Source organism: Homo sapiens, chromosome 10 (genome assembly GCF_000001405.40).
Source record: "Homo sapiens chromosome 10, GRCh38.p14 Primary Assembly".
Lineage (NCBI taxonomy): Eukaryota > Metazoa > Chordata > Mammalia > Primates > Hominidae > Homo > Homo sapiens.
Window position 1 is genome coordinate 96,062,462 of NC_000010.11, and position 24,672 is coordinate 96,087,133.

Sequence of the window (24,672 nt, forward strand, 5' to 3'; positions counted from 1 at the left end):
TGTACAGGGAGCATGGAGCTGGCATCTGCTTGGCTTCTGGGAGGCCTCAAGAAACATGGCAGAAGGGTAAGCAGGAGCAGGAATCTCACTTGGTGGGAACAAGTGGGGGTAGGCGAAGGTGCCACACACTTTAACCAGATCTCACATGAAGTGAACTCACTATCACAAGGACAGCACCAAGCCATGAGGGATCCGCCCCCATGACAAACACCTCCCACTAGGCCCCACCTCCAACATTGGGGATTACATTTCAACATGGATTTGGGTGGGGACAAATATCTAAACTATGTCAAACATATCTTCCCTCTGTCTGCCAGGCTGGAGCGCAGTGTTGCCATTATGGCCCACTGCAGCCTCGACCTCCTGGGCTCAAAAAATTCTCCCACTTCAGCCTCCTGAGTAGCTAGGATCGTAGGCATACACCACCACATGCCTGGCTCATTTTTACAATTTTTTGTAGAGGTGGGGGTTTGCCATGTTACCCAGGCTGTCCTTTTTTTTTCTTAAGATTTTTAATTTTAGAACAGCTTAGATGTACAGAATTATTACTAAGATAGTACACAGAGTCCCCATATAGCCCACAGCCAGTCTCTCTTCTTATTAATATATTGAGATGGTACATTTGTCACAATGCACCAGTACTGATGTACTATTACTAACAGAAATCCATGCTTTATTCAAATTTCCTTAGTTTTTCCCTAATATCCTTTTTCTCTCCCAGATTCCTATGCAGGATATCACATTACCTTTAGCACTCAGGTCTTAGGCAACTCTGGGTTGTGACAGTTACTCAGACTTTGTCTGTGATGACCTCGACAGTTCTGAAAATCCGTGGTTAGGTATTTCATAGAATGAACATATGTTTCTTGAGAGCAGGGATTTTGTCTTACTCATCTTACGCCCCTGTGTGTGATAGGGATCTGATGTATGATAGCACATCATAGGCTCTTGGGATGTAGGTAACAAAAAATTGGCCAGCACGGTGGCTCACACCAGTAATGCCAGCACTTCTGGAGGCCAAGGTGGGTGGATCACTTGAGCTCAGGAGTTCAAGACCAGCCTGGCCAACATGGCAAAACCCCATCTCTACAAAAAATAAAAAAACTAGCTGGGCGTGGTGGTGTGTGCCTGTAGTCTCAGCTACTTGTGGGGCTGAAGCAGGAGGACTGCTTGAGCCCAGGAGGTCGAGGCTGCAGTGAGCCATGTTTGTGCCACTATACTCCAGCCTGGGTGACAAAGTGAGACCCTGTCTCAAAACAACAACAACAAAAATGCAGTGTAAAAGTAGGCAGTGACTAATAAACAAATGCTGCCTTGGGTTGATTTAAAAAGTAGAGTACTCTGATCATAGGAAGGCACAGTCCCATCAGATTCAGCACTGGTTAGATCGTATCTACAAAAATCTTGTGAACTGAATTTTAAGTGGAATGGTGATAAACCCAAGTTTTGCCACAAGCTGGTGATGGGTCCAGGAATCATGTTATATGAGTAACAACTGAAGGAACTGGTGGTGTTTTCACCTGGGGAAGCCTAAGGAAAGGTAAAATGCTTGTCTTCCCAGATGTGAGAAGTCCTATTACTGCAAAGGGCAGAATTAAGTCAGTGGTCCAAAGTTTCTCACATTTCAATGAATAATAAGCCAGAATGTTACAAACAGAGTAGTGCTGCTTTGAGAGTTCCTGAGTTCCTAGTTAACAGAGGCCCCTGACATAGACCAGAAATGGGATGGAAGTAATCCTTGAACTTGGGTGTAAACATCTTCCAATTCTCAAGAGCTTCTGAAGCTCTAAAGAGTTTCTGAAGAGTTTCTAAAGGTTTTATGGACCTGGGACTTGAGCTGGGTGTAGAAAGAAGGGAAAAGCTTCAGCTAGACTAGGGCAGTCATCACCCCAGTGTTGGCACAAAGCAGACTGCACTAGCCTGGCTGAAGCCCTTCCCTTCTTATATTCTCAGCTCAATTGTTGGACAGTGAGGGCAGACTCATTGAGAAGTTGTAGAGGAAATAAAGTTGAGTGAGTAGAATGAGGTTGAGTTACGGAGTTTTGAAAGCCAGAAGAGAATACAGACTTTGTGGGGTCAGAGATATCGCTGAGGATTTGTGATATGATACTGGTGATTTTAGGAAGAATGATGATTTTAGGAAGATTGGTTTTAGAAAGAATAATGATTTTAGAAAATGGTGGTTTTAGGAAGAATGATCTGACAGTATCAGGGTAGGTTAGTAAGAGAAGATGGGAGTCAGAAAGCTTTCTGCAATAATGACAAATTGAGTAAGAATGGTACATGGATATTTAATGGTACAAAGGTAAACCCTAAGAAAGAAAACAAAATTGATAGAATTGAGGGATAGAATAAAGGAAAGGAAATATACTAATTCTGTTATTACTTATAAAAGTGAATTACAGATACTGAGATACTGGCTAAATAGAAAACAGAAATACTGATTATACAATCTGTATTACAAAGTTAACTACAGGAACAAAAACACAAAGCTTTCTAATTATGAAAAGAAGGAATAAAACAAAGCAAACTTTCCATATAGTAAACTATACTTTAAAGGTATAAATAGCAAAAGTATAACAAAATAATCTGACAGAACTAAGTCCAAACATATCAAATCAATAAATGAAAACAAACTCAACTATTAAGGGAAAAAGAACTTCAGACTGAATCACAAAGTGAAACTCAAATCTATGTTGTATGAGAGACAGGTCTAAAATAAAATGATTAAGAAAGGTTGAAGATCAACGAAAAAGTAGAGATACCAGAAAAACTCAAACAAAAAGCAAGGATCAAGATCTTAATAACAGACAAGGCTGAATTTTGGCCAAAATGTATTAAACCAAATTTTAAAAAGGGCACTTTATAATGCTAAAGGTTACAGTTCATGATAAGGATGAAGTTATTAATACTTCTGGATCAAATAACTGTAGCAATATTATGCACAAACTATAAAGGTTTTACAGAGAAATAAAAGAAAAACATGGGGCAGGGTGCAGTGGCTCACGCCTGTAATCCCAGCACTTTGGGAGGCCGAGGCGGGCGAATCACGAGGTCAGGAGATCGAGACCATCCTGGCTAACACGGTGAAACTCCGTCTCTACCAAAAATACAAAAAGTTAGCCGGGTGTGGTGGCGGGCGCCTGTAGTCCCAGCTACTCCAGAGGCTGAAGCAGGAGAAAGCTCCAGGAGGCGGAGCTTGCAGTGAGCCGAGATGGCGCCACTGCACTCCAGCCTGGGTGACAGAGCAAGACTCCGTCTCAAAAAAAAAAAAAAAGATGGTAGGTAAGAAACTAATTTATTTCTCTAAGTCCATGACAGATCAGTAACATTAAAAAAAAAAAAAGCAAGGATATACAAAACCCTAACACACCATTATGGTTCATCTAATGGACACATATTAGATATTCTGAGAAGGAAATGGTGCAGACCTGGAATAACAAAGACGGCAGAGAAAACAAAGTACACCGCCAGATGTACAGAGATAGCCTGTCACGCATGCCAACAGCAAAATTCTGTCTTCTAAAGAGTCCTTAGATAACTGAAATTGCTTTCTTTGTTGACCCATCTAGGTGCCTGAGATCAGAATATCCTTACTGGCCTCTTTGCTAGCTACCAGCTAATCTGCAGCTTATCTAGAGAAAATAAAATTCATGGTTTCCAAACTGCAAAAACACTTCCACTTTTGCCTTTGTTAGATGAGGTCAATCCATTACTGGATTTCACTTTACACAACAGTATACTAATAACTGACTATATTTCTGTAAGTTTTCTTGGATAATATCAAACTCTAATGTGAGGTTTTACAAAACTTGACTATGTATTAATCCACCAAAAAACTGCAACAATTCCAAAAAGTAGAATTACTACAGAAGACATATTCTGATGAAAATGTGACTAAAAAGAAATATGTAATAGGACCAAAGAACTCAAATAATCTTTAGGTCAAATAAGAAATCGAAACTGAAATTTCAAATTATCTAGAAAATCACTTGTAACAAAAATTCTACGTATCATGAGCTCTGGGATAAAACTAAAGCAATGCTCAGAATAAAATTAACATCCAACTGAAAAAGTCTAAGAACAAGAAACCAAACAAAAGCAGGAGGAAAGAAATAAGACAAAAGCAGTAAAAATGAATTATAAAAGGGAAAAAGAAAAAAACTAATACCTACCTATACATGCAATACAACTAAACAAGAGAAAATAAAATACAGTTTAAACATTGGGAAGGAGGAGGTAAAATTACAACTATTTGCAGAATCAATGTATACCTGGAAATGCAAGGTAATCAACTGAAAAACTATCACACGTGATAAGGAAATTTAGTAAATTGGCTGGCTACACAATTAAAATAGCTCTCATATATACAAACAACAACCAATTAGATTTAATGCAAGATATACTCAATTATAATGGCCACCAAAATAAGACAAAATGGCAATAAATACAACACATGCACAAGATCTACATAAAGAAAACTCTAAAATACTTATGACACAAAAGAAAGTTGCACAAGGCATACCATATACTTTTATAGAAAGTGTAAACTTTATAAAGATGTCAATTGTCCTTAATCTATAAATTTAACATACTCTAACAAGGTAATTTTTTTAAATTACCTAAATAAAGAATAATGAATATAGAAAAGCCCCATGACATATTAAAATATATTACAAATCTATAAAAAATAAAAATGGTACTGGCAAATGAGTTGACACACAATTCTGTGAAACAGAACAGAAATTCCCAAAATAAACATATTTAGAATTTATTATATAATAAAGGTGGTATCTTAAATTAGTAGAGGAAAATAAATATTATTCAATAAATTGAGTTAGGTCAACTGGGTAGCCACCTAGAAAAACAAATTTGGATTCCACACCTCAAAAAATTTAAGTTTTAGGCTGGGCACAGTGGCTTATGCTTGTAATCCCAGCATTTTAGGAGGCTGAGGTGGGAGGATTGTTTGAGGCCAGGAGTTTGAGACCAGCCTGGGTGATATAGCGAGACTCTCGTTTCTGTAAAAAATACAAAAATTAGCCAGGTGTAGTGGTACGTGTCTGTAGTTCTAGCTACTATGGAGGCTGAGGTGGGAGGATCACTTGAATCCAGGAGTTCAAAGACAAGCTTGAGCAACACAGTGAGATCCCATCCCTACAAAAAAATTTAAAAATTAGCCAAGCATGATGGTGCATGCCTGTAGTCCCAACTACTAGGGAGGCTGAGGTGGGAGGATCGCTTGAGCCCAGAAGTTGGAAATTACAGTGAGCTATGATCTCACCATTGCACTCCAGCCTGGGCAACAGAGTGAGACCTCATCTCTTAAAACAAAATTAAATAAACAAATAAAACATTTAAATTCTGACCAAAAAGAAACCATGGAAGAATTATTTTATAACCTCAAAGACAGAATGTGTAAGAATACAAATGCAGGCTGGGTGTAGTGGCTGCCTGTAATCCCAGCACATTGGGAGGCCAAGGTGGGTGGATCACCTGAGATGAGGAGTTCGAGACCAGCCTGGCGAAACCCTGACTCTACCAAAAACACAAAAATTAGCTGGGTGTGGTGTCATGTGCCTATAATCCCAGCTACTCAGAAGGCTGAGGCAGGAGAATCACTTGAACCCAGGAGGCAGAGGTTACAGTGAGCCAAGATCGCACCACTGCACTCCAGCCTGGACGACAAAGTGAGACTCCATCTCAGAGAAAAAAAAAAAAAAAGAATACCAATGCAATAAAATTTATATAAATTTTTCAAAATTTTCTACAAGGCAAAAATCATCATAATCAAAGTCAAAAGACAAATAACAACATAGGTCAAGTATTTGCAATTAATCTCCAGACAAAGGGATAATTTCCTTAACATATAAAGATGGAAAGATATGAACAGGCAGTTCCCAGAAAAAGAAATACAAATGTCTCTGAAGAAAAGATATTCAGCCTCATCTTAGAGTTTGGTAACAGTGTTGGTGAGGGTGTAGGCATTATTCTACATTACTTACGAGTGTCTGATAGGTCGAATTCTATGAAAGGTAATTTGGCAATATATATCAAAGTTACAAAAGCAAAAATCTTTTGACCCAGAAATTCCACTTCTAGGAATGTACTCTACAGGTTAAGAGTTATATACATGTGAAATGGGATAGGTACAAATTATTTATTTCACCATTACTGATAAGAGCAAAGATGAGAAACAACTTAAATGGTCATCCATAGGGACTCTGTTTTGCTATTATAATGGCATTAAAAGAACAAAATATTTCTCTATACTCATTGGTATGGATGATATCCAAGACATATCAGAGTACAGAGTATGCTACCATTACACCAATGCTTACAGGATCACATGAGGTCTCTTTTTTTTTATTTATTAATTTTCACTGTTTGTTTCTGACTGGTCAACATAGAAAATTTGAAAAATGGGCCAGGTGTGGTGGCTCACATCTGTAATTCCAGCACTTTGGGAGGCCGAGGCGAGCAGATTGCCTGAGTCAGGAGATTAAGACCAGTCTGACCAAATGGTGAAACTCCGTCTCTAATAAAAATACAAAAAAATTAGCTGGATGTGGTGGCGTGCACCTGTAATCCCAGCTACTTGGGAGGCTGAGGCAGGCGAATTGCTTGAACCAGGGAGGTGGAGGTTGCAGTGAGCCGATATCGTGCCACTGCACTCCAGCCTGGGCACGGAGCGAGACTCCGTCTAAAAAAAAAAAGAAAGAAAATTTGAAAAACGAAAAATATAAAGCAAAAGGGCATAACGGGCCGGGCATGGTGGCTCATGCCTGTAATCCCAGCACTTTGGGAGGCCAAGACAGGTAGATCACTTGAGCTCAGGAGTTCAAGACCAGTCTGACCAACATGGAGAAACTTCGTCTCTACCAAAATACAAAAAAAAATTAGCTAGGCATGGTGGCACATGCCTATAGTCCCAGCTACTCGGGATCAGGAGGCTGAGGTGGCAGGATCGCTTGAGCTTGGGAGGCAGAGGTTGCAGTGAGCCGAAATTGCACCACTGCACTCCAGCCTGGGCTACAAAGTGAGACCCTCTCCCAAAAAAACAAAAAAAAGGGGACATAACTAATCATTTGCTTTGAGGATCTTTCCTGTACACACATATATTATTTCTACATGGACTGCATATTAAATATGTAATTTTGTATTATATTTTTTGTACTTCACAATATATCAGCAACAATATTTTTTCATGAAATTAAAATATATCCAAAGAATATTTTGGAAGGGTTGGCCATACGGATTATATGAATAGAATATATTTTAATCATTTTCTAATGTTTTGAAATGATTTAAATATGCTCTAATAAATATATATTTTTACCACACTTCTTCAACAACAGACATTATTATCAAACGATTTCATCTTTGTAAATATATCAGGTAAAAATATCTCATTTTTGTTTTTATTAGCATTTCTTAAATTCTCAGTAGAGATGACCATTTTTGTGTGAGTGTACTGACTACTTATACTTATTTGATGAAATAGCTGTTCATTCCTTTACCAATTTTCCTTTGGTTGTTAGTTCTTGGTTTTAAAAAGCACTCCAAATAGTCAGAAATTAGCCCATTAACTATTTTACCTGTTACAAATATTTTTACCAGTTAACATTTTTTTACCCTTGCTTGTACTGTAGGGGGGACATGTTCCTATCAACATATATCTTCCTTTTTCTTTTTTTCTTGAGACAGGGTCTCTCCCCTCACTCTGTCGCCCAGGCTGGAGTGCCCGAGTGTGACAAGATATATCTGTGTATTGAAATCTTCTTGAATGACCCTCAGTACAATCTTTACGTTTTCTTCATATAGATCTTACACATTTCTTAAGTTTACTTCTGGGTATCTTACCCTTTAAAAATAATTACCGGCTGGACACGGTGGCTTACGCCTGTAATCCCAGCACATTGGGAGAGTGAGGTGGGCAGATCACGACGTCAGGAGTTCGAGACCAGCCTGACCAACATGGTGAAACCCGATCTCTACTAAGAATACAAAAATTAGCTGGGCGTGGTGGCGGGCGCCTGTAATCCCAGCTACTCAAGGCAGGAGAATCAGTTGAACCCAGGAGGTGGAAGTTGCAGTGAGCTGAGATCGTGCCACTACACTCCAGCCTCGGTGACAGGGCGAGACTCCTTCTCAAAAAAAAAAAAAAATTACCACAACTGTGAATGAAATTTGTTTTTCCACTGTATTTTATCTGGTTATTGTTTGCATATATAAAAAGATGATTTATGTTTTAGAACCATATTTTACTTTCAAGGTGTTTTTAAGTACACTAACAGTACATGAATACATGCTTATATTTAAACATGTAGATGAGAATAAGCACAGAGCTGGGCGCAGTGGCTCATGCCTGTAATCCCAGCACTTTGGGAGGCTGAGGCGGGCGGATCACGAGGTCAGGAGATCGAGACCATTCTGGCTAATACAGTGAAACCCCATCTCTACTAAAAATACAACAAATTAGCTGGGCATGGTGGCAGGCGGCTGTAGTCCCAGCTACTCGGGAGGCTGAGGCAGAAGAAAGGTGTGAACTCGGGAGGCGGAGGTTGCAGTGAGCTGAGACCGCGCTACTGCACTCCAGCCTGGGCAACAGAGCAAGACTCGGTCTCAAAAAAAAAAAAAAAAGAAAAGAAATTACTGGGTCGCAGCCAGCAAATTAAACAGAAAAAAACAAAACAAAACAAAAACAAAAAAACAACAACAAATAGAAACTGTAAGACTACACTGCTCTAGTAAGTACAAATATTGTTTTTACTAAACTTATTTCTAACTCTAGGTCAGAGTCCAAAAAGCTTGAAATACACTACTTAGTCCTGGGTTCTCAAATGGGGTACATAAGAATCATCTGCATCTCAGGACCAAAAGATTCCAATTCAGTAAATCTTGAATAAGAATCAAGAATCTATATTTTTAAAAGACACTATACAGGTGATTCTGATGGAGAAAGTCTTGAGGCCTACTTGAAAAACTATGCTCCATATACATGCATGTCCTTCTCCAAAAGGTTCCCAAGATAGCGGGTGACAAACTTTTGCCATGGAAAGCCACCCCAGTACAGAAGTGCAGGACTGGATGGCATGGGCCTACAGAATGCAGCCATGTTCTTGTAATGGTCTGCAGATTATTCCTGTACCGACCTCCACTCCACTGGGTTACCGGGCTAGGGACATGTCCTGGAAGGGTAACAGCCATGGCTAAGGTCTGGGTCTTTTACACAGTTAAGAGTCATCAGAAGTGAGCTGGTATCAACATATGACCTCACATGACCTGAGTTCTCTTTGACCTTGATTATTAACACAATTGTTAATACCTTCATTCAATACACCACTAAACTACTGCATTTCAGGCACTGTGGTGGGCACTAGTGGAAATAAAAAGATGACTGTCCCAGGAGTTTTCACACTCAGCCACCAACACTACCCCCTCTCCCAACACACAGAAGGCAATAAATAGCTCAGCAAAGGTTCTTTGTCTTTCCTTTTGGCAGAGGTACCTCATGGGTTTTAGACACCAGGGAGGGGGCCTGTCAAAGCCTGAGATAAGGTGACCATATCCTCCAATTTCACACTTCTCTTCCTTCACATACCTGAGGGAAACACTGTTCATGTCTTTTAAGGACTATGGCCTCTGTGGGTCTCATATCAAGGCATGGAAAAATAAAAGTTAAATCTAGAATCCTAGAAACCATGCTCTCCAAGAAATAGCACTGAGAAATATATATTAAAAGGATTGTTAGGGTATGTGCTACCATATTAGCAACTGGTACATTTAGTAAGACTCACATTTTACAGATATGCCTTCTAGTAAGGTACTAAGTGAAAGTAGTCTTTGATTACAGAGAGGCTGAAAGCCTCCCTTATTCACAGGTCACTTCCTGGTAGCTTAATGGGTATGTTTAACTGATTCAAAGACAACTAATTTAATTTGATAATCTGAAAGGATGTCTGTCAAGGGGTCATCATAGTTATCGCTGGGTAGTGAAAATGGATGATTTTTATTTTTGCCTTTGCAAATTTGTGTTTTCTAACTTTTCTTACAGTAATTATGGATTACTTTTACAATTGAGAAAATATATCTTTTTTAGGAAAAAAAAGCTTCTTAGATCAAAAAGTAGACTGATTTCATTATATCTTAGAGCAGGTTCTAGATAAAAGCCTTAGTAGGTATTTGTGCAGATATTGTTTTTTTCGGTTTTAAAAAATCCAAAGGTTCAAGTATTGAAGACCTCATTCCAAGAGAACCTTCTAAGTCTTGATCTACAACAAAATTTGGGCCTTTTCTTGCTCAAGTAGAGAGAAGCCTACAAAGGAGCCTACAAAGATGCAGGGAACCTACAAAAATGACCTGGTCTAAGGCCACTTCCTTGTAGACTCAGAAAAATTTGTCTGGCAGATAACCTTTTCACCTCTGTCCTCCTGTTCTATGAGGATCTCTCACGGCTGCATGAATTACGAGTCACACTCAGCATCAGTGCCTCTCCCTACTATTGGTCCTGAAGAAGTGAGCTTTCTTTTGAAAATTCAAATTTATTGAGGTATAATTTACACACAATAAAATGCACATACTCAGTAACTTTTGACACCTATGCAACCACCACCACAACCAAGATACAGAACATTTCCATTATCCTAAAAGGATTCTTTGTGCCCCTCCCACTCCATCCTCCCTGTATCCAAGCCCCTGGCCCCGGCAACCACTGAGAGAAACACCCATGAGATGAAGATTTACCAACGTGGAATAAGTCTGCCTTTCCTATAGTTTCAAACAAACGGAATTATACACGATGTTCTCTTTTGGGTGTGACTTCTTTCATTTGGCATACTGTTTTTAAGGTTCATCCATGTTGTTTGTTTTTAGTGCTGAGTACAGTACTATTTTGTTTGTACTCAGCAGTGAACGAAACCAAACTACATCATATTAGAAATTCATGATAAATGGTATTTGGGCTCATTAGTTACTTCATTCACCCATACATATTTTCAATGATTCATTTTTCTCTCATTCCACAAATTCTGTTGTAGTATTGCCTTTTATGTATCAGGCAATGTGTCAGCCATTGGTTAAATGTAAGCTGCACAGTTGGTTCTGGGATCATGTACCTAATTTTGATCCTGGGAAAAAAGATTATTCTGTGTAATATTCAATAGTAGCCCTACTTATCTATGTGAAAACTGTATGGGGCAGCGTTAAACTTACATGGCTGGGCACCCAGTGTCTCAATGTTCTTTGCAGACTTCATGAATAGTGTATTTTGTTCTGTCATAAGAATGAGGTAAGATGGTGCAGCCAAGATAGTATGTCCATGTTCAAGATAGGAAGAGCTAAGAAACATCTGTCACTGTTATCAGAAAAGAAAATCTTCCCAGAAGCCTCCAGCAGATTTCCTCTTATGATTCATCCACCAGAACTGGGTCACATAACCATCCACATCTGCAAGAAGGCCAATGAGGGTCTTGCAAAATGAAACAAGATGGTTATGACTGACACATATGAATCATGACTCATAGACTGAGGCTGGCAATTGTTATCCCAAGCGAAACTGAGGTTTCAATAACAAGAAAGAAAGAATAAATACATACTGGGTAGGCAATATGTATGCTGTGTCTACCATGGCTTCTCATGATGATATCTGCAGGGAGCCTCGGGATGACTCTGGCACAGACAGGGCAATGTGAGTAATAAAGTGGAGAATGGAAAAAGCATTCCACTAGATGGGTACAACCTTCCCTAGCCCACACTAAGTAAGATCTTTGGAGACTTCCAAAAATATACACAATTGGGACGTTTACTTTTGTTAACAAATGGATTCATGCTCATAAAATCATAATTATGAACTTTCTCCCACTAATTATAAGACAAGATAAAGACAGATAACTTTTGCAGTCCCTGCCAAAAGGCACCCTCAAGCTCCAAAGCTTGAGTAAAGCACAATTTCTAAGGGGAAGCCAGAGTCATATCATCTTCCTTGAGCCTTATTCCCCATCGTGCTCCCTCACCTCACAGGTGTGCCCCTGGAGACAAGGAAATTTGATCATGATTCTATTCTAGGTTCCAGGGGGGCTAATAAATATCACCCTTTTCTTCTCCTCCCCAAAAAGGGAGAAAAGTCAGATCAATGCACAGATAAAAATGGGAATAAGGCAGACGAAGATCAAAGTATCAGCTTTAGAACTAATAAAACCTACCTCAAAGGGCATGCCTTAGATGTGTTATCTCAGTGGGTGACCTAACAGATACTTTACCACATAATTCAGTATTCCCAGACACAGGCAGGGCAGGACAACTGTAGGCCTTCCCTACCAGAATAGGCTTACTGCAATAAACTTCCTGCATGTATGAGTGAACCAGACATGCCCCCCTCTGCCAATGTGAAGATCAGAAGGGGAGAGAAGCCAAACATGCCTATTTCCTTATCCTCAACTCACAGATCATATAGTCTCCCTCCTACCCTGAGGAGGGGAAGTGGCCGAAAGTATTTCTCACTCCTCTTTCTCCCTACGGACTGGAGTAGAAACTCATACCCGCTATGGAAACAAGAGAAACAGTTCCTCTAACACTTCTGTTTACAAATACCCTAAAACTGTTTGGTCATTAAGTGGATTTTTTTTTTAAGGAATAGGGCAACAATAAGAACATTGAATGTGAAGATGACTCTGGAAAGTTCCTCTAAAAAGTAAGATCTCACAGCCCCTTCATTAGCTAAGTAGTAGAGATTTCATTCATGCTAACCTATATACACACAGAACATATTATTTGGATGAGGTAAAATGCTAGCTTGAATGACAGAGACAGTCAGCTATCTGGAGATTTAAAATGCAGGGAGATTTGGGGGAGGGGTGTTAGAGAAAGCCACTGCCAGAATCTTTCAGTGGTACAGTATATAAGTTTATTTCAGGATCTGGGCTCCTTGCTTAGAGTGACCCTTTAGCTCATGGCACTGGTCTTCAAATATGTTACAAATTGATTTTGTTTGACCAATCCAGCATGAATGGTTTATTTGTAGCACAGTGGAAAGAAGTTCATTATTGTTATATATGATACTAGTCTATAGAGCAGTGAATCTTAAATGCCAGTGTGCATTAATCAAAGAGCTAATTAATGCAGGCTCCTAACACCCTACCCCAACTTCATAAGGTAAGTCTGGGACAGTGCCTATGAATCTGCATTTTTTAATAATTACCCTGGGAAATTCTGATTCAGATTTTGGGAGGTCCATATTTTAAGAACCACTGCTAAAGGGATGAGGTGAACTTTCATCAACTCCAAAACAGCTCTAGTTTCTTCTCCTAGCAGCCAATCCACGCTCCTTTAACCTTCTTTGTCAAATATATTGTTAAATGCTACCTGACAAAAGAATGACTTCTTAATGAGCCTATTAGGTCAGTAGCTTTCTAACTCTGTGGTCCACTGGTAGAATATGAAGCAGCTTTCTCATTCACTGCCCCCCTACTTTTGGTGTGCACTGTTCTAATCAAAGAGCTTTGAAGACAATAGATGTATTACAGAAGATTCAGTTTGCCTACCCTAGCATCCATTTCTCCTTTTTTCCTTCTAACAGAAGCTTGATTTGTCATGTGCCCTTCCCCCACCCCCACATCAACATTGGAAGCTGAACCTGCCCTCAATTACAGGGAGAGGACTTAGAAGACTAAAAGTAATTCATTTTCTTTGCCAGTGCTTGGTTCAAGAAACTGGCACAAGGCCAGGTGCGTTAACTCATGCCTGTAATCCCAGCGTTTTGGGAAGCCAAGGTGGGAGTATCAATTGAGGCAAGCAGTTCAAGACCAGCCTGGTCAACATAGCAAGACCTTGTCTCTACACACACAAAAAAATTTTTTAATTAGCTGGGCATAGTGGCTCATGCTAGTATTCCCAGCTACCCTGCTTGAGCCCAGGAGTTTGAGATCACAGTGAGCCATAATCATGCCACTGCACTCCAGCCTGGGCAACCGAGTGAGACCTTGTCTCTAAAAGCAAAAAAAGGAAATGGGCACATTTAGAATCTGGCCAATAGGACACACTGAGGAACTCTGCTGGGAGGATTCTAGAAGTTTTCTAACAATGTGAGCAAATGTTGCCAGCTCTGGATGTGATGCCTGGAACTGCTGCAGCTGTCTTGCTACAGCTTGAGGTTGAAGTCATGATTACATACTTTCACCAACCAATTGTAACATAAAATATGACAGAGAGTTGCAAAGAACCTGTGCCCTTGATGACATTACTGTGCCAGTGAATAAAGGCAACCAAGCCTCAAAGCCTACCCTATAGCTGGAGTTCCTGTCATCAATGAGTTAATTTTACTATTTAATCTTCTTGGAGTCTGGATTTGTTACTTGCTGCCAAAAGCATTGTAACTGATACAGACATCTTTGTATAGTTTCCTGTATTCTTCTCCAATACGGTCAGATATGTGTACATTTTATTGTGCCCTCCTCAAAATGCTACCTTTTGGATTTCTGAATATTCTGATATTTTACACACATGCATAAATACACGCAGACACACACACATACACAGACACCCCTCTTTACTTGTCTTAAGGTTAAGATGTTCATACTTCCCATGTCTTTTGAGATGTGTTATATTCGTGACTCCTACGCTACAGCTGCTAGTGCTCTTAAGGTTGTGAATGCTACTGAACCATGATTTTTGAAGCAAAAAATAAAATTTTAGCTAATTATACCTACCCACCTGGGTGCTGTAATTTATGAATGTCCTAAACCAATTAATATGAAGAAGCTGCACACCTTAGAAATTCAGCCATATGTATAGAGATCGTAAGTAGTCTTGTTATTCAAAGCATGCTGGTGGCACGCAAGTGAGAAACCAATAAACCTTCACTATTACAGAAAACACACTGAGAAAGACAAACACCCTCTTCCTGCAATTTTACCACAGGTCTTTAAGTATCACATCTAAATCTGCATTTGAATTAGAGTTGGGTACGGTTATAAAATGAATGTCAGTAAGGGAATCATGCAGAATACTAACAAAAGACTGTTCCATTAGCCCATCTAAACAAGCTAAATAATCTCAACCCTGGTTATAAAAATTGCTTTTAAAATCACAGAGGTACTTTTTAGTTTGAAGATTGATTCTCAAAGGTCCAAGACTCAATTTTCTCAAAAGTAAGGCTTATTCATATTTGATGGATGTAATAGGCTTCAAGGAGGGACTGGCTTGTGCGTCAGTGTACAGTCTTCCATGACTTTTTAAAAGTACATGTACTTTTGTGCCCTTGCCCCAACTTGCAACAACTCTGAAGGGTCATCCCAACTCCGGAGTGCCCTTGTAGGATCCCCTTACATCTTTGTTGTGACTGCATCACAGCTCAACTAACTCCTTCTTTTGCCTAATTCTGCTTCCTTTACTCCCTCACTCATATTACACCCAAGAATCCTCCTCATTAAGCCACCTATAGCCAAATCACTCTCACAGTCTCTTTCACAGCTACCTCAACCTACAACACTTTTCCTTAATCCGGAGAGTTGGAGGCCTGCCCCGCCTCTCATAAGTCAACCCCATTCCTCTAAATCTTCATGACAGCAGAACGGGGGTTGAGACTTCGACACACCATGTTTTATAGTTTCTGATTCTTTCTGTATAACAAAATCCTTCTCTAGGCACTTTTGAAGATTGTGTGGAGGGCAGTGGAGGTGTCTTCACTGACTGCCCCTTGTCCTTTGGTATATGGGAAGAATATTTTTAGGCTCTTCCCAAATAAAAAGAAGAAACTTTGCTGCAATGACCAATCAGATCTACGGTTTGGTAAAATTCTACTTGGAAATTATGAATTGATTTATTTGCTTAGCATTTGTCTCTGCTCTTAACCAATTCAATGAGAATCCCTGAATTAATATTTACAAAAGGCTTTAGAACTAAGAATGTTTTGAATAGGTAATAAATACATATAGCAATATTCAAAAGGTAAAAAATATATATATACTTTTATATATACACACATACATACACACACTTTTTTAAACCACTAATTCTTATTTCAATACCAAAAGAGTCAAACTGTTTCTGCTAAATACTAGCAAACAATTATATATAATCTAATCTAATATTCAAAACCAATTACCAAGTATTAAATACAATCAATGTCTTAAATTTCCATCCCCACTACCTGGGTCCTAGTTACCATTATCTCATGCTTGGATGACTGGTCTTAGGTCTACTCTGCCCCACTCTAATCCTTGCTCCAATTGCGGCCACGGAGATCTTCTCAAAACTCGAACCTGGTCTCAAGTGTCATCTCCTCCCCCTTCTCTCCCCTCCGACCACTGGCCTTTCTTCTGATACCTATATTTGAATGTTCTTTCCTACCACAGGTCCTTTGCATATATTAGCCCTTTTATCAGGGGCACACATTCCTTCCCTCTTCATTTGTTAACATTTATTCATGTCTTCAGATTTCTGCTTGAGCATCACTTTAGGGAGACTTCCCTGATCTAACAAAATCAAATTCTCTTGTTACAGACTCTCATAGAAACTTGTGCTTCTTTGTAATACCTGTTATATTTGCATTTTTATATTTGTGATTATCTGGTTACTGGTGATCTATAGAAACTTGTGCTTCTTCCTAACACCTGTTACATTTGCATTTTTGTATTTGTGATTATCTGGCTACTGGTGATCTGTAACATTAAACCATCAGCTTTATGGACAAGGGTTTTACCTGCTTTTACTCACCATTTACAAGCCCTCTATTGGAGTAGATGCTCAATATGTATTCAATGGGTGAAAACATTGGCAAATGTTTTATCTCCTACAAAATAGCCCCCAAAAGCAACATGAAATTCACCATCTTTTTTCCCTAGTTGTTTCCAGCGATCGAAAGAACCCCAATAACAAGTCTTTGGCTAGAAGATTCTTTTTTAAAATATATGTTACATGAGGAAGATGGGGTTGGATCTTCTTAGCACCCACCCATTTTGGAAGAGGGTTGTAAAGCATAGATGACATAAAGGGATAGTGCCCAGAATGCAGATATTCTATTACCTGTAACCACAAGATATCAACACCAGGACCATTTCCTTCTCTTGACATGAAAATAACTTCATCAAATGAGGAATTACTCAACCTCTTGTCTCCACCCCTTCTCTGAAGTTGGTATCCTATCCACCATTTGAACCCTGGTAGATGTGAGAACCCTATTCAATCTACTCTCAAGTAAAGATATCAGCTCTTATAATTCCATTTTCTCCTTTTCATGGATGGGTTAAGTCTCTTTCCTGAATTGTATTCTTATGACACCAATCAAAGCATATGGGAGTAGGGGTTGGAGGGAGAAGGGGAAAAGTAGATTGTTCACAAATGTTAGCTTGAAAGAACTTGTTTAGTCTTAATGCCTTGAAGAAAATTTCCAACGGTAGCAAAATCTTTTTCTGGGAAAAACTGTTTTCATTTTCACTTTCCATGGGCTTTAAAAGAAAATTTAAGCCTCTTGGGGCAGTTTTAAAAAATATTTCTATAAAAGTTTCTGGCCAGGCATGGTGGCTCATACCTGTAATCCCAGCACTCTGGGAGGCTGAGGCGGGTGGATCACCTGAGGTCAGGAGTTCAAGACCAACCTGGGCAACATGGTGAAACCCTGTCTCTACTAAAAATACAAAAATCACCTGGGCGTGATGACACATGCCTGTAATCCCAGCTCCTTGGGAGGCTGAGACAGCAGAATCGTTTGAGCCCAGGAGGCGGAGGTTGCAGTGAGCCAAGACTGTGCCATTGCACTCCAGCCTGGGTGACAGAGCGAGACTCCATCTCAAAAAAAAAAAAAACAACTTTCTGCTAAGATAATTCGGAGGCCCTGAAGCAAGATTCTAGAGTGATATGCATGTATTTAACACTGTGTGAGAGGCTTGAAAATGTATGCCAAATTTTCAGTGTTTGTTTGGGAGTATATTTTTCTGAAGAAAGAGTCCAGGTATTGCTTCAGATTCTCAGTCTCCAATACTTAGTATGCTGCCTGGCATGTAATAAATGCTTTATAAATACACAAATAAAAGGATGAGAGAATGAATGAAGGCAAAGCTCTAAAGACATTCAAAAGAATGACCACAGAAGTAAATTATTTAATACTAGGAAACACTGGTGTCAGTGAAGCCCAAGTAAAAGAAGATTTCAAGAAGAAAGTGGATAAACTGTCACACTGGACTGAACAGAGGTCAAGTCAGATAGGGTCTGAGAAATACCCAGTGGATTTAGAAATGAAGTGGTAGTTAGTGACCTTTAAAACTGGTAATTTCAGTTGAGATAAAATGTTGCAGTTGGTTGAAGAATAAACAGGAAGTTCACGGAAATAAACAGTGAGTAAAGACAACTTTTTCATGAACACTTGTCTGTGGACAGAGAGGTATGAAACAGAAGAGAGAGCGGCAAATTGGTGTAGGATGGTTTTATTTTTTTCTTCTAAGACAGAAAAGATGTGAGAATGCCTAAATGCCAGTGGGAAGGAGCCATAGCTAAGTAAACGAGAAAAATCCTAAAGAGTAGGAATGAATGGGAAGAGATCCAGAGGCTTGGACCAGAAGAGGACCACCTTTTCCACTGTGCAAGGAGAAAAGGACAAACAAACAAACAAAAAAAGAACAAAAATGGTTTATCAATGAAGTAAGTTTGAAGGTTTGGTCGCACTAATTTGCTAAAGTTGCCATCTTATGTTTTCTGTTTTCTCTGAGAAAACGGGAGGTAAAATAATCTGCTGAGAATGAAAAAGTAGGAGATCTAGTGAGCACATAGGGAAGGGTCTAAGGTCAGCAGAAGTTTAAAACAGCTCCTGTGGAGAATGGGAAAGAGAAGAATTGCCAGGCAAAGTCATGAACATAAATGTCATGCTATTAGTTTTCACCAATGTGTGATTTTTCTCTAAGAAGTCTTTCGAGCAGAAAGGGGTTTCTAAGAAAAATCCCTGCCACCAGAGGCTGCCTTATCTCTTGTGAGTGAGAATTAAGTTGAGTGACTTAAATTCACGTTCAAAATTGTGGTGGAAATACATTTATGTGAGTATCACATGCAGAAATTATGGTGAATCTGAAAATTATAGGAAGTTATTGGTATTATTTTAAATATCTAGAAAATAAAAGTTTGCCTCTTTAAGGGACTAAGAATGGTGACAGGAAAGTTTTTGTGTACAGGAAAATGAAAACCATTGTCAAGGCCGGCACAATGGCTAACACCTGTAATCCCAGCACTTTGGGAGGCTGAGGCAGGCAGATCACCTGAAAACAGGAGTTCAAGACCAGCCTGGGCAATGTGGTGAAACTCCGTCCCTACTAAAAATACAAAAATTAGCCCAGTGTGGTGGTGCACGCCTGTGGCCCCAGCTACTCAGGAGGCTGAGGCAGGAGAATCGCTTGAACGCAGGAGGCGGAGGTTGCCATGAGCCAAGATCGCGCCATTGCACTCCAGCCTGGGCAACAGAGCCAGACTCTTCTCAAAAACAAACAAACAAACAAACAAAACCATTGTCAAAACAAAGCCCTAAATTAATTACAGTCATCATGCACTACATAACAATGTTTCAGTCAACAATGAACAGTATATACACTGCTGGTCCCGTAAGATTAAAATGGAGCTGCACTATATAGGTGTATTAAAAAACAAAAACAACTGTTATATTGTATTTTTACTGTGCCATTTCCATGTTTAGATATGTTTAGAAATGCAAATATTCACCATTGTGCTACAATTGCCTCCAGTATTTAGTACAGCAACATGCTGCACAGGGTTGTAGCTTAGGAGTAACAGGCTATACCATACAATCTAGGTGTGTAGTAGGCTACACCACCTATGTGTGTGTAAATAAACATGATGGTGAATTCACCTAATGACACATTTCTCAGAACATATCACCACAGTCAAGTGATGCATGACGGTACTTAGAGAGTCCCACAGGTGACCTAATAACTGAAGCAATCAGCTCTCAAAAGCTTTACCCTGTCACTTCAAGTGACAATGTCAGCGTCAACAAATCCAGAACAAAAGGAAGGACATCTAGAGAGAGAAATCCACAGCAAAGACTAGTTAGAGTGGTTTTCTCAAAACAGATAGAGATGGAAGGTAACAAGAGGGTGCATGTTCCCTAGCACATCTCTCCAGGCCAGCTGAGCCAAGCCTCGGAGAGGGCAATGGAGGTCCTCAGCCCATCAGCCATGACATACATATACATGACATAATCACTCAGACTCACCTAAAATTAAAAACAACAAACAAACAAATGGAGGACTCTCTCATGCTTATTCTACCAATTTTAAGTCAGTTCAGTCTCTAATGTTCAGTAGGTCATCAGGCAAAGGTGACATCACACTCAATCCCCAAACTGATACCTATTCTCTTTAGCTTTTCTTCTCCCTCTGTCTACAGACACCCAGAAGCAGCTGGTGACATTGAATACCTAATCACTGTTACTTCCCTCTTTATCTGTTTTCTGGCTTGGCTAGAGGCCTACCAAAAGGGTTAGTTACATAGCCAAGGTTTAAGATGAGTGCTTTCAACACTCTCCACCTAGCCAAACCTACTCTGTCCTGAAAACAGTACAGCAGTCCAAGTGGGGAAGCAGAGAAGACAGCTGTTTTGAAACGCAGGCTAAATAAGTGGTTAAATGCACATTTTCTAAGGGCAAACTTCTAGGGTTTATACCCTACTACAGTAGACAGAAAATTGAGCTTTACTTTCCTCACGCACAAAATGGAGATAACAGCGCCATTGAGAATATTAAAGGAGACAAACCAGGTAAACTCAGAAGAGTGTCTGGAATACAATAAGCACTCAGTTTATGTTAGCTATTATTATAATTTCTGACCTAGGGTTGTGTTTTACTCGGTAGGTCTAACAGAGGGAAAAGGGTGCAAGAGTGTAATGGTTGAAGTGATGGAAGCTGACTGGGAGAGAGAACAGCCAAGGGATTGGAGTTCTTGAAGCTGAAGTACAGATGCACTGGAAGTCATTCAGCTAAAAAGCTAGAAAAATGGGCAAAGAGCAGAAGAGTTTTTTAAGTTTTTAAGGGTGTAGCTGCTGACATAAATAATTATAAGATTCAGAGACTGGGTGGCTTCATGAAAAGGTAAAGGTCACTAAATTTGAGGTCAAGCAGTTGAGAGCCAGGATATTGGTTTAGTTAACCACATGGAATTTGAAGTGACCGTCATAAAGGTGGGACTTGGGGAGAAGAGGGTAACTATAAGCCAGGTGCCAAAGTCTTCAGTGAATGAAATGAAATGAATGGGAATGGCAGGGACAGGAAGTTCAGAAAATAATAAAGTCATATTGTATAAGCACATCTAAAGAAGGATGCCAGCTGCTCTCCCCAGATCCAACTGATGCTAGCTGGTGGGAAAAGACCACAGACCCAAGGCTGCTAAATATCTTGCGATGTTTAAGAGAGTATAATGACAATACAGCAACCTGACCTATCCAAAATGTTACTACTGCTCCTGCTGAGAAATACAGCCATCAAACTGTTTAGAGTGCCTTCTCAAAGAAGCCTGGCTATTTCACATGTCATGGCATCTCTGAAGCCCTTTCGAAGGATCATTTGTGTCCTCTCTCTACCCCTACACATACGTCCACCACAGTATGGCTCATACTTTATGTATTTTTTTTTTGATTGATTGATTGATCGACTGGAGACAAGGTCTCACTCTGTCACCAGGCTGGAATGCAGTGGCAAAATCACAGCTCACTGAAGCCTTGACCTCCTAAGCTCAAGTGATCTTCCCACCTCAGCCTCCTGAACAGCCAGGACTACAGTTGCAAACCACCACACCTGGCTAATTTTTTTTTATTTTTTGTAGAGATGAGATCCCTATGTTGCCCACAGTGGTCTGAACTCCTGGCCTCAAGCGATCCTCCTGTCTCAGCCTCACAAAGTGCTAGGATTATAGGCATGAGCCACCACACCTAGCTACATGTATACATTTAAATGTCACTCTCCCATAGGTACTTGCAGGGCTGAGGCAAGATGTAGTCATCTTTTCATGCCTATCTCTTAATGCTGTGTAAGCACTTCATAAATGTTATATAAGAGTTCTCACAGTCACCAAATCAGGGAACAGAGCATAAAAAGAATACTCTCCTATGAAGATGGGTCATGAAGCATTTAAGCTTTGACTATAAAGAATGATTTTTTTCTGGCTGGGCACGGTGGCTCATGCCTGTAATCCCAGCACTTTGGGAGGCCGAGCGGGGTGGATCACTTGAAGTCAGGAATTCGAGACCAGGTGAAACTCTGTCTCTACTGAAAAAATACAAAACTTAGCTGGGTGTGGTGACGGGTGCCTGTAATCCCCTCTACCCAGGAGGCTGAGGCAGGAGAATCGCTTGAATCTGGGAGGCAGAGGGTACAGTGAGCAGAGACTGCGCCACTGCACTCCAGCCTGGGCAACAGCGAGACCAGGCCTCAACAGAAAAGAAAAAAGAAAAGAAAAGGAGATTTTCCAATAAAGATTAGAAAGGAGGTGTGATATTTTTTCACCAACTGGTAGGATAACATTTTTAAATACTCCTGATGAGAAGTAGTCATGGCTGACACCCAAAAGTAAAAACTCAGGATTTGGAGAATAAAGTTGTTAGTTAACTTGGAAAATCCTTTACCCAGTACACTAAACTAAAAACGATGATGTCTTAAATTAGCAAAATCCCTTTGTATTCCTCATTCTCTAAAAACTTTTTAAAAATTTACTTACCCTAGAGTTTAAATGAGATGCTTATAAATTCATCTTTGCTGTAGGTTAAGTAATGAGAGGGTTTTAAAATTTTGTTTCTGTTCCTCCTTGCAAGTGTCCCATGCCTGTTTTATTCTTTTTAGTCACTGAGATTATCTCCAAATGTCAAATTTTCAAATTAATCTGTATTTGATATAAATTCTTGAACATGTAGAAAAAGTAGGGAAAACAAAGTGAATATATCTTATGATTTCAGCCTAGGTGAATTCACATTTTGTTAGGGTGGGGGGTTTACTGTTATTCGTTTACAGGAAAACAGAAAGATGGAGAAAAACGGTGTGGAAATAATAAAAACTTTAAAGGAAAACAATTTTCAGGGTAGTACAAAACAATCCTTAGGTACTTAAAAAATTATTGAAAGAACATATTTGCTCCAAATTTAATGATATCACTTCTCCTTCAGTTCTTTAAACTTGAAATCTTTGATTAATAAGCATAAACTTCTGTGAAAACATCATAAAATGAATTACTTTTTTGGACTCATAAAATAATTTATTATAGGCCCTTGGCCTTATTCTCCTTTGGGTTTGGAGAACTCAGTAAAGTATACATTACAAAGTTTGTGCAAGGAAGTAAGTACTAACAGAAGTGAATACTATTCCCTCCTCATTACTGCACAGGCATAACTAAAGAATAAAAACTTTGTGTTTTCTGTAAAAAAGGACTCTGAGAAAAGGAAATTGATAGTGAAAATTCCAAGATGTTCATGGTCAATGTTCACTCAGTAATGAAGTGCTATCAAGTGGTACAGAGTTTTATTTTAGTGGCAGGAATTTTTGTAATTATGTAAATGATTTTACTCCTATATTTGGTCTTTAAAAATTGAATATACAGGCATATACCCTTTACAGAATTATGTAAGTAAAATTATAGCCATAATCACATTTAACAATTGAAACGATTTTTAACATCTGGATTATGAATATAAAATAATTTCTTGTATCTCATGTTTAGTTAAAACACTGTGTTATTTGAGGGTAACATTTTTTTTGTTAATTTTCCCAAATCCCTTCCTGATGATACCTCACACACTGGCTTTTCTGGCCACAGCACAAAACTCAGCTGATTATCTACAGAGAACAGTCTACAACTCTATAATTATTCCTGTGCCACCTTCCTGGTTCTAACCGAAAGTACAGACTATTAGACATCCATAATTACGGTTGGAATAATTTCTCCTGTTAACATTATTCTTACACTTGCCCACCCAAAAACTTGGAACACTTTTCTGCCCACTGACATAATTTCAATTATGACATAATTTCAATTGTAGTTTATTTTTATTGTTCATAACTCAGAAATATTCAATATTATTTGTATACTAGGAAAGATAGTATGCCTAATCACCTCCAGAATACTCACAAAAATTAAATAAGCTATCAAATCACATTTTTAAAACTTTTTTTACAATCAAGATTTCTAAAAATTAAATAATGTTCCTATACTTTGGCCACTTTAAAAATAAATCAGATTCTTTGTTGGAAAGTCTATAAGCCAGCATTTCAATTTTTACTATAACTCTTCGAGGAACAAAATATACCCCATACTTGATGACAATCAGCAATAATCAGCAGAAGAAAAGATATTTGGAAAGAAAGACAGTTTACAACAGTGAACTTCTGAATGCAAAAAATTTCAGTGCAAAATAGTTTTACACTATTAATACTATTGCAGTCATGTGCTACATAATGACATTTCACTGACGGTCCCATAAAGTTATAATATTTTTACTGTACCTTTTCTATGTCTAGACATGTTTACATATGCAAATACCATTGTGTTACAACCACCTATGGTATCCAGTACAGTAACATGCTATACAGGTTTGTAACCTAGGAGCAATACGCCATACCATACAGATATGTAGTAGCCCATACCATGTAGATTTATGTAAGTACACGCACAATAACAAAATCACCCAACACAT

At 39.1% G+C, this 24,672-nt stretch overlaps 1 long non-coding RNA gene and 1 other non-coding gene across 5 annotated transcripts in view; both read right to left on the reverse strand.

Moving 5' to 3' along the window:
* ENTPD1-AS1 (ENTPD1 antisense RNA 1) overlaps window positions 1-24,672 on the reverse strand; it is a 337,030-nt gene that overhangs the window by 309,256 nt on the left and 3,102 nt on the right. The window lies entirely within an intron of this gene.
* Window positions 1,854-1,938, reverse strand: MIR3157 (microRNA 3157). Its single transcript, NR_036113.1, has one exon. It is a non-coding gene; the product is annotated as a microRNA 3157 (primary transcript).